This window comes from Homo sapiens, chromosome 8 (genome assembly GCF_000001405.40).
Source record: "Homo sapiens chromosome 8, GRCh38.p14 Primary Assembly".
NCBI classification, from domain to species: domain Eukaryota; kingdom Metazoa; phylum Chordata; class Mammalia; order Primates; family Hominidae; genus Homo; species Homo sapiens.
Window position 1 is genome coordinate 125,724,431 of NC_000008.11, and position 11,337 is coordinate 125,735,767.

The window sequence follows — 11,337 nt, forward strand, 5'->3', positions numbered from 1 at the left end:
TGTTAAATTAATTTATTCATTCAACAGATATTTTTAAGCCCGACTATGTACCAGGCACTATTCTATATAGTGAAAAAAAGACACAAATTTCTGTCATCCTAGATCTTCCTATGTAATGGGATAGGAGGTGGGTGACAGATGAGAAACCAAATATGTGAGCAAACTATGTAGAATGTTAGAAGGCAGTAAATGCTATGGAGATTTTTTTTTTCTTTGAGATGGAGTCTCACTCTGTCGCCCAGGCTGGAGTGCAGTGGTGCGATCTGGGCTCACTGCAGCCTCTGCCTCCTGGGTTCAAGCGATTCTCCTTCCTTAGCCTCCCAAGTAGCTGGGACTACAGGCGCACACCACCATGCCTGGCTAATTTTTGTATTTTTAGTAGAGATGGGGTTTCACCATGTTGGCCAGGCTGGTCTTGAACTTCCTGACCTCAAGTGATCTGCCCGCCTCAGCCTCCCAAAGTGCTGGGATTACAGGCGTGAGCCACTGCGCCCGGCCAATGGAAAAAAAATAATCAGGGCAGGGTGAGACAGGAAGTGTGGATGGGGTTGTAATTACAAGTAGGATTGTCAGCAAAGAGTAAACAGTGGTGAGGAGAGAGCCATGTTGCTATCCGGCGGGAGGAAAAGCTAGTGTGAAAGTCCCAGAGCTGGCATGTGTCTGGCATTTCCCAGAAATGGCACAAGGCCAGTGTGGCTGGAGCTGAGTACGCAAATCAAAGAAATAAATTTTATTGGATTGATTTGAAAGATGAAGAGAACATATTCCTTGCCCTCTGGAGACTTAGAGACTAAAAGGGCAACTGAGGCTTGGAGAGATGAATTATTTTCTCAGGATCATATAATACAGCTGGCTGGAGTTTAATCTGAAGTTCTGGGGGCAGACCGCAATTGCTGCCACAGAGCCCCTCCTGGCAGGTGCAGCCCACAGGAAGACCAGCACCCTGGCCACAGAGACAAAAGGTCTTATTGACTTGCAGTAAAAATGTCCTTATAACCTGTCCAGAACAAAAGGGGAGGATAAGGTTCAACCAGACACCGAATTCAGGGAGACAGCATCAGTCAGAGCTTTACCACTGCCAGCAATTTTGAAGCTGCCCATATTTCTGCTCAGGCAAGATGTTTTCTTGCTCTGAAACCTTTTAGCAGATGCAAGGTATTGCTCCGGGTGTATCCCAGAACACAAGTCTTTGCTAAAGTGGGTAGACAGCCACTTTCCTTCAGAGCCAGGGACTGCCCTGGGAGTAAAACCATTTGGAGAGCATTTTATATTTGCAAAATGTTGCTGTGACATGTTATCATTTATTCCTTTCAACAGCGCAGTGAGATTGGAGAGCATCCTCCGATGCACTGTACATTTGGGAGGAAGAGAAAGGATAAGAGCCCTGCTGATTCAGTGGTGGTCATTATCATTGTCAATGGAGCTGTCACTGTTATCGTCATTTTCGTTTGCGGTGAGGTATGTGAGAGGATAAGGCAGGGCTCCTGCCTGCAAGAAATTTACATTCTAGTTGGGTAGATTCATCCACGTATTCATTCACATTCACATATTTATTGCAGAGTGAATAATGCCTCACTCTGCAAGCTTTTATTAAACTCTTGTTATATTTTAGGTAATGATTGAGAGAGATTCACGTGTAGACTCCAAAAATGTCAGGCATGGTTCCTGCCTGTAAGAAGTGTTCAATCCAATTGGGAAGATATGTTCATTCATTCATTCCTTCCTTTTCATGTTTATTCAATAATGCCTTCATTCTACAAGCTCTTACTGAGGTCCTGTTACATACCAGATAATTATTGGAGATCCAAATGTTTACGACTGGCCTTGGGGCAAGTGTTAAGAGAAGGCTTCACAGAGAAGAGAAACTTTGCTTTGTCTTAAAGAATAAACAGAATTGTATATGGAGGGCAGAATAAAAAAGGGGATGCTTAGTTCAGGCCAACGGAGCAGAGGTGCCAAGAGGAAGAGGCAGGAAAAGGTGTGGCCTGTCCAGGAAAGGCTGGGAGTCTGGTGTGGCTGGAACCCTGGAGGCAAGGACGAGAGTGGCTGGAGGTGAGATGGGTGGCACCAGACTGGGGTGGATCTGTATACCATGCTAAACTGCAAGGCACTTTTTCTTCCAGGCAGCTAGGGGAAAGGAGTGACATGATTCCCTATGGGTCTTTAGGAAGACTATTCTGATTGCTAGGATGAGAAGGGCAGAGGGGCAAGTCCATGTGATCCCTCTGGCTACAGCACAGAGCAAGGTTCACAGTAGATGCAGTGTGATGGAAACAGACCCAGAAACATGACACCAGAATAATGTGGTAAGAGGTGAAGTTAGGTTTGGGAGTGGAGGGGAATGTTCCTTCCCCTGCCTGACATTCCCCTCCACATGGAGGGTGCTGCCTTTGAGAAACACCCCTGGCATGTGCCCCTGCTCTGCCCCAGGAACACCCCAGTTTCCTGAAACTGAATGAATAAGTCTAATCCTGGGCATTCTCCAATGTCAGTTTTTAGTCAGTAAATAGATGATGTACTTGTTCTTCACAAGTTGACTCTTTTGTCTTATTTCTGAATGAATTCAGAACTGGGCAGGGGAGGGAGGTATTATTATTGGAACTTCTCAAAGAGTTAAGAGAACAACCTTAATGCTGGCCTTCATGTTTTCAAGCCATTGAACTAATGCCAGCAACCACTTACCTTCAGATCGCTTGATATGTGAGCTAGGTAAAGGACTGCTTTATTTAATTCAGGACTGTACATCAGGCTTTCTGAGAAACTGAGTGAATAGGTTCCTAACTGATACAGGCAGGTCATGACACCATTAAAGCTAGGCCTCCAGAGAGGGTAGGGTTGAAGATTGGGGTTTGGGGGCCATCAGTGTTTAGATAGAAGTGGAAGTCATAATACTAGATATTGTGGGAGCACAGAGGAGGGGCCCCTAACATACACGGGGAGTTGAGGAAATCTTCCTGGAGGAATGATCATCTTAGCCATCTTGAAAAATGAAAACAGAACAAATATACTGGAGTAAGAGAGTGGGGATTTGGCGAGGACAGGATGGGATTGGGAAGGGCTGTAGTCAAGTGGCCAGAGCAGTGAGGAGTGTATACGTGCACATTTGTGTGTGTCTGTGTGTGCACATAAGGAATGGTTTCAGTAAAGACAAGAGAATAGAGAGGGAAGTGGGGGCCAGATACAGAGGGACTTTTCAATATTGTTAATCAGATGAGGAATGATACAGATTTGAATTAAGATCCTCACGGAGGAGACAGGAAGGAAATAATTGATTTGAGAGGGACTTCTGAACAGGAAGTGCAGAATGTGATAACTAATTGGGTGATGGGGTTGAGGGCAAGGATGTGGTCTCAGGAGAATGACAGATTTCAGGGCAGACATTGCTAACCTCTGTGACAATATTAAGGCCTGCTACCATCCTATCTTCCCAGCTAACAGCACCTCAAATGTGCATGGTGCATCTTGCAGTAAGGGCCGCTCTATTACTGGGTTCTGAATTCTCCAGGTGTTCTGGGATGCATCATGCTTTTCCTGATGAAATGGAAACAGACAGCAGGCAATGCTTCCACTCTCTTTCTTACTGCCTCATAGGCAGTAGCTGCATAAAACTTTGAAGCAATAAGCCAGATAGAAAATCAAGAGAACAGCCTTGATTCTGGCCTTGACGTCATCGAGCTATTGAATGAATGCTAGCAATCACTTACCTCCAGACAACCTGTTATGCGAAAAAGATAAAGCTCTGCTTATTTAATTCAGGACGGCACATCAGGCTTTCTGATAAACTGAGTGAATGCATTCCTAACTGATGTAAGAAGGTCATGACACCGTTAAATCTAGCCCCCCAGAAAAGATAGGGCTAAAGATTAGGGTTTGGGGAGCATCAGTGCTTAGACGGAAGTGGAAGTCATGAATGGAATACATATAGAGTGACAAGTGACAAATCCAGGGATGTCTGACTTTTTGAGAGTCAGAAGCCTGGGAAAAATTACCAAAGGAGGTCAAATGTGAATTCTATCACAGGGAACCTGATGGATGTCAGGACGTGTTCTCTCTGGGTTTCCTATCATTCATTCAACGCTCGTTTACTTAGGGACAATGCTTTTCTTGAGCACCAGTGCCCGTTTAAAAAATGGTCCTCCTGGGAATGGGGTTCTCTGATTTCTGAGATTGTCATCAAGCTTTTCCTTGTGTTGGGGAGAGGACCTGCTCCATTTCTAAATAAACCATCAGGCATGGGTCTGTGCAGATGATCCTTGTGGAATAGTGTACTGGGCACCGTGCAGTGTAGGAAATATTAGATGCCATTTGGCCTTAAGCAGTCCAAAAGTTCAACTGTGTGGAGTCCAGGAGTCTTTGAAAAAACCGTGGAGCATATACAAGTTCTACACCTGCCTTTGGAGATGTTATTTGAGTTTTCTCTATAGCTGGTAAAAGTGAGCAGATAGTGATGCTGCTAATAATTTTTCTTTATGGAGCACCCCAGCGGCTTCCTTTCCCTCCTGATGTTGAAGACATTAGGAGATGTGACTAGAGGGGAGGACCTGCAATAGAGATCTTCAGAGTTTTAGTTTTTAGTTCACCAGAGGCAGAGAAATGTTGTAGTTAGGAAACTCTAGCTGTGGCACCAACACTCCTGGACACAGGTTCTGAGACCTGAGCCCAGTTAAGGAGCCTCCTTTGTAAAGTGGGGATGATACTAACCTACATTATCATGCTGCTTGGCACAACAGCTTGGTAGTAATGGCCATTAAGCTCCATCCCTATTTCCTACAGCCTTCTGTGAAACACCTTTAACTGAAAGTTGGGAGTCTCAAATTCAAGCTTACCTTCAACAATCTGTTTGGTCTTTTGAAAGTCTCCTATCTCTCAGGGCCTCAGTTTCCCCCTTCGTAAAATGAGAGGTTTGACTCAGGAAATGATTTCTGCAGGTCCATTTGATTAGAACTGCTTCTTTGAATGTTGGTTTCAAATTCTGCAATTTATAGTTTTTCTTTTAGCCAGAAGGTGGTGCTATTGAGTCCTTGCTGTTATTACGAAGTGCTTCAAGTTCTGGGCAATCCAAATTGGCCTACCTTTGATGCTTTGAATGTAAACTTGTAGTTGAAGGGATCTCTTTGTGGGTCCTGACTATTAATCGCCCCCTGTCCTTTCCAAGCCCTGCCAACCCAGGCTTCAATCTGGTCCAGTGCTTTTCAACAAACTGGTCTGTTTCGTCTCAGCTCCAATGGCCTCAGTTCAGGGCCACAGGAGAGAGGTTGGGAGCCTCCAGACAATTCCAGGGCATGAGGATGGCAGGTGTCTGAGGTTTTGTTCCCAGGACTATGGCTGGTGCAGGTTACACCTGAGCTCAAGCCAGCTGAGAGCCTTGGAGAAACAGTGTTTGGCCTTGACTATGACTCCCAAGACCATTTCCTACTCTGCACCCCAGACCTCCATGTCCCCAAGTCCCTTTTACTCCTTGTCTATTGGAGCATCTTCTTATTATTTAAACTCTTGGGCCTGATTCTCCACCTACAATTAAAGGATCAGACTTCAGACTGTGGCCAAAAGTCTCATGTCACCCTAGATTTGGGTGGGTTTGAGGGTTTGGGTGTCACTGAGGCAACCACTGACGTGTTTTAGCTGTCTCTCCCCAGCAGCGGGCCCCAGCAGGCAGTCTCAGTGTCCTGCCACAAGAAGGGTGGACTTTTGATGGCATAGACCACACTGTTGCCTATCAGCAACAATCAATGTCACTTCCTCTTAGACACATAATATTAATAAGGATGGAGCTGCCGAAAAAACCAAAGTCATGTGAAAACCTGTGATCAAATCAGGAAGTGATTCTCACTCAGGGCCCAGTACCCAGGGTCCCTGCCTGTCTTGGTGCTGGTCTCTGAAACTCATCAGCTTCCCTCCCCTTCAGGAGATGTTCCCATCTTCCAGGTCCCTGCCCTGTGGGAAGTTTCTCCCCTCAAGCCCAGCTGAGGAACCTGCCATGGTCAAACCAAACTGTGTGTCCTTGCTCCCCACTGGGACGAATCCCAGGAACTTTGAGTTTCAGGTTTTTGCAGTGGGTCACTTAGGAGAATCAGATAACCGATGTCTTCAAAACAGTGAACATATCATAGGAGAGAGAGCATAAGCTCTGGAAATGCAGGGACAGGATCGGAGTCCCAGCTCTACTACCACTGCCTGGCACTGGAGCTGCCTACAGGTTATTTACTTGCTTGGCTATGCATCAGTTTCTTTATCAGTAAAATGGGTAATAGCACCTACCTCATAGGATTAGATGAGATAACTTTGAGTAAAGTAATGATTTTATTGAAAATTTACTCTGTTCTAGGTACTGTGTTAAGCACCTTATATAGCAGTGTTGTCCAATAAAAATATAATGTGAGCTACATATGTAACTTAAACATTTTTGTTTGAAACACTAACATTGTAAATTACCACATATTAATATAACATAACATGTCTGTTAACATTAACATAAAATTTTTATATTAATAATATGAAAAAACAGATGAAATTAATTTTAATAGTATATTTTATGTAACCCCATACATGGAAAACATTTGAACATGTGGCACCAACAAATGCTCAAAAGCTACATGTAGACAGTGGCTATCATTTATATTACATGTGTAATATGTATAACAAATGTGTACTATATATATTCATGTGTAATACATATAACAAATGTGTACTATATATATTTTACATTTTTATGCAATATTTTGAAAGTTCTGTAATTATTTGAGAAACACATCCAATAGAATGTTACAGTGATACTTAATACTTGTTCACCATTATGTGCCAAGAACCATGCTAAGTATTCATTTATATTAACTTAGTGAATTGTCATAAACATTCTGGGGATCAGGAACAGAGGGATGGGAAAAGTGATATGGAAGGAGGGAAAGCCAATCCCATGGGTGCATTCTTGAGCAGGTCACTGCTGCGGGCAGTTGTGTTGCCGCTATGGGCAACAGTTGGGATGCCGCCTTGAAATTGTTAACGGAAGACGTAGAAAACTGTGTTTTAGTTTTCATTCGTCATGTAGGGTCCTGGAGGTGCGATTGTGCTTGCACTTCTGGTTTGCACATGCACCAGAGTGGCTGACCAGACTCCAGCATGCAGCTCATAAGGTGAGAGGCCCCAGACAGAAAGCAAGAGATGCCTGCAGCAGAGGCAGGGTGCTATCACTAGTTGCTATGATAATGGCCGGAGCACAGTGGTGGCTGAGAGGATGAGAGATGGGGATCAAAGGTGTCTGACACATCGTGTTGCTGGTGTGCAGCCCGTGGGGTGGGTTGCCAGGGCGAGAGACGTGAGTGTGTCTATGGAGGAACTGGGAGATATTTTAGAGTGCATCTCTCACATTAGGAAATAGTGCAGTGGAGAGACCCCAGAGGGCTTCCTATGTGCACCCGTGGGACAGCGAGCATTGGAGTACCAACTACTTGGAGCTCATAGGTGGCCTACAATGATCCGTCAAGTAAAATAACTTTTTCCTTCCTCCCTGGAGAAGACATCTCCCTTCCCTGGAGACGGAGACGGGGGAGGGAAGGACGGAATGTAGCAGCCCCTCCTCTCTCCAATTTCTTCAGGACAAGATACAGTGAGCACTGAGAGGAGGGGGCAATGCGAAGGCCAAATTAAACAGGACACTGTGTCTTCAGGTGGACTGAGGAGGAGGCTTAACATAGCCACATTGAAGGCAACAATTAGAGTAAATGTTTCATGTTTATACTTCACCAAGTTTAGAATGTTCAAACAAGGGCCACATTGTTATTTAGCTATTTATCTCATAAGACAACTGAATTAGCAATACTTCCTTTACTTGGTAGGAGACTCCTTGGTTTGGGTACTGTCAGGTATGCATGCCACCTGCAATGTTAAGAGTATTTTATGATGGTAGTGTTAGCCTCCAATGCCCTCAGGAGCCAGACAGACGCTGGAGTGCCTCCTATGTGTGAAGGAAGCAGACCTGATTGGGGCTGATGAACCAGAGATCCACATCCTATTTAAAGGAGTGCAGGCACTGTTCTGCTCCAGCATGTGGCCTTGCAGAAACAGCAAGGTAAAGAATTGGGATTGTTGGACATGTATGCAAAACACCTGGCTTAATTGCTCTTCCTCCTCCTTCCTGGTATTGGAGGAATTAATGCCATCAATTCTTTACCCTTCTCTGTATCCAGCTCTTTTTCATGTAATTTTGCAATGTCCTTCCACTGTGGTCAGCCACACTTCCTCACTTCTTGTCTCTGGGCTCGTCTCATTCTTAGGGCTTGTTTTGTCCAATGGCTTGTTAGTGAGTGAGCACAGATGGAGGCTTGGGATGCACTTGAGTGACTGGGCTTGTCTATTTCCTTGCACCTCTGCCATTACCACAAGGGGAACATGCTTGAGCTAACAGCTGATCCCAGTAGGGGAAGGAGAGAGGCCTGCAGACCTGAGCCACACCAGCCAAACTCATTCTCCATCAGCCCGCCCTCAGCTGGCCTAAAGATTGCAAGTGTACATGATGGCTGTTGTAAGCTCCTGGGTGCAGCAGACACTGATAATGTGGCACTCTTTCTTGCTGAGCCTCAAGATGGCCCCAGATTCTTCTCCTGCACAGCAATCCAGGCAGCCACTATTATTCTGTGAGTGAACTGTGTGCCAGGCCTGCAAATAAATAAACTGTTTGCCAGGCCTGCAGAGGGGACGGGGAGCCTGGGACAGTGAGCTTGGGACGGCTGGCCTGGGTGTTTGGGTGTGCTCTTGGTGCCCCTGGGTGCCCCCTTTTCCTTTCTTTGTTCTGTCTGTGCTTGTTCCCAGAGAGTAGGCGGCTCAGCCACACGGAGCTGTTCGCCACTGACAGGGCATCTGATGCAGTCTGTTTGGTCCCTTTTCTTAGTATTTGTACTCTGGGCTTTTTACAACTTCAAAGAGCTTCTCACCCATATTCACTAATTAATTCATTACTCCTGTGAGTAAAACCTGAAGCAGTGAGAAGAGAATGTCATTAGCAAGAATACCAGAGGCTCATTATTTAAAAGAGGTTGCCCAAAGCCAGGCTCCCTCCGACTGAGCAGTTAACCTGTTTGCCGCTGACAGGGGCTCAGCAGGGAATGTGTATCAGGGTGGGGACCCATTAGGTGCTCAGCAGTCACTAAGCACCTACTGTGTGTTCAGCTAGCTAGGTGCCATGGGATATAAGAAGTTGTAAAGTGTGGCTTCTAACCACAAAGACCTCCAGTCTAGTGAAAATAGGGGCTTTGGAGTCATGTAGACCTGGGTTTGAATTCTGGCAATTTATAAGCCGTGTGACCTTGTGCTAAGTCCCGCTAAGCTTCAGCTTCCACATCTGTAAAATGGGATGCTAATGCCTCTTTAGGGTCTAAGTGAGGATAACGAACATAATGCAAATGAAAGCTCCAGTCAAGGGCCTGGCACACAGTGAGCACTCCATAAACCATAGCTATTACTGATCTCACCCAGACAATGGCTTCCTGCACCTCTCTCATGTTCCATGCCTAGAGGACAGAGCGGTGGAAGAAAGAGGGCTGGCAGAAGGTGGAAGTTTGGGGGACACCCTTATATCACAGAGAAGATGAAGAAGAGGGAAGAGAGAAGGAAATAGAAGGGCTAAAGAGGTAGGAGGGAAACCAGGAGGATGCAATGCAAGTACACAGAGGCCAAGGGACAGCTTCAGGATTGGTGAGGGAGGAATGTGGCTGTCATCCATGTCCTGTGCTAAGGAGAGATAGAGCGGGATGTTGAACGAGAACATTCACTCATTCAATCACCCATTCAATCACTCAATAGTTATTAAGTGCCTGGAATGGACATGAAAATGCTCCACCCAGCTGTCCATCAGAGGGGGTTGTGACTGGCAGCCCAGCCTCTGACCTTCTGAATGGCTCATGCATTGTGCCAGGACACATGTCTCCTGGGGCACATTTCCCAGCCAGTGGTTGAATATGGCTCTCTATTCTTGTGGTATGTGGGACTTCTCTACTGGACCCTGCAGTGGGCAGGCTGAGACTTTCCTAGAACTGTGCTGCAGTCTAAGACTCTGCCTACTCAGCCCTCTCCCTTCCCCTCTTCCTGCTCAGCTATCAGAGCTCATTAAGACCCCTTTATCTTTCATAGGTGGCGCCCATACATCTCTTGCTCTTTTACCTATATCTTGGCATTGGTTTCTTCCATGATCCAAACTAATACAAACTCATACAGTGCCTAAGGAGTGCCATGCATTGCATTATGCCCTGGTGATAGTGACAGGAGGCAGTCAAATGCCTAGGCAGATGGGGTGGGTTCCCAGTAAAACCCCACCTTCAAGCCAAAAACAGCCTGAAGGCTGAAAGACCAGACTGCTGGTCCCAGATGAAACCCACTATCTAGAGTGAGAACTTCGGTTCCTGTTTGCCCACCCTTTCTGATTGGTTCTTTCTTTCCTTTTTTTTTTTTTTTTTGAGATGGAGTCTCGCTCTGTTGCCCAGGCTGGAGTGCAGTGGCGCGATATTGGCTCACTGCAAGCTCCGCCTCCCAGGTTCACGCCATTCTCTTGCCTCAGCCTGCTGAGTAGTTGGGACTACTGGCACCCGCCACCACGCCTGGCTAATTTTTTTTTTTTTTTTTTGTATTTTTAGTAGAGACAGGGTTTCACCATGTTAGCCAGGATGGTCTCGATCTCCTGACTTTGTGATCCACCTGCCTCAGCCTCCCAAAGTGCTGGGATTACAGGCATGAGCCACCGTGCCCAGCCTTGATTGGTTCTTTCTTAATAATGCCTTTTAACCAGTTGAATGTTGCCTTTTCCAGTACTACCTATGGCCTGTCCTTCCCTGATTCTGAGCCCATAAAAGCCCTGGACTCAGTCCTATCAGGGGGACTTCCCTGCCTTTGGGTAGGGGGACCACCCCCGTGTTCCCTCTGTGCTGAAAGCTGTTTCATCACTCAATAAAACCCCCTGTCTTGCTCATTCTTTGATTGTCAGTGCATCCTCATTCTTCTTGGGTGGGGGACAAGAACTTGGGAACTGGTGCACAAGCCAGACTTGGCCCAGGAAGGCTGAGTGGGCGGGCTGTCTCCTATAGCAGGTAGCGTAGCTGAGCAAGGCCCAGGTCTCACCAGTTGGAGATCCTGATTTGCAAAGTGATTGAGAAGAAAATCCTGTGTCACTGGGTAGTGTAGTGGTGACCAAGACAAACATTCTTAGCATCACACAGCTGGCAGTGAAGGAGGTAAAGATGACAGGGAATAAATAGGTAAACCAAAAAGTGCTAATTTTAAACAGTAAAACTTGCCACATACACACAAATGAAATAAAAAAGGCAGGCTACTTTAGACTGGGTGTAAGGGAGG

The 11,337-nt window shown here is 45.9% G+C and overlaps 1 annotated feature.

The window, feature by feature from the left end:
• Positions 8,709 to 9,262: an enhancer, noted in NCBI's record as "NANOG-H3K4me1 hESC enhancer chr8:126745383-126745936 (GRCh37/hg19 assembly coordinates)". NCBI's record gives its function as "activates a minimal SCP1, AML or CMV promoter by ChIP-STARR-seq in naive H9 embryonic stem cells {active_cell/tissue: H9 hESC(naive)}" and the evidence as "EXISTENCE:reporter gene assay evidence [ECO:0000049][PMID:30033119]".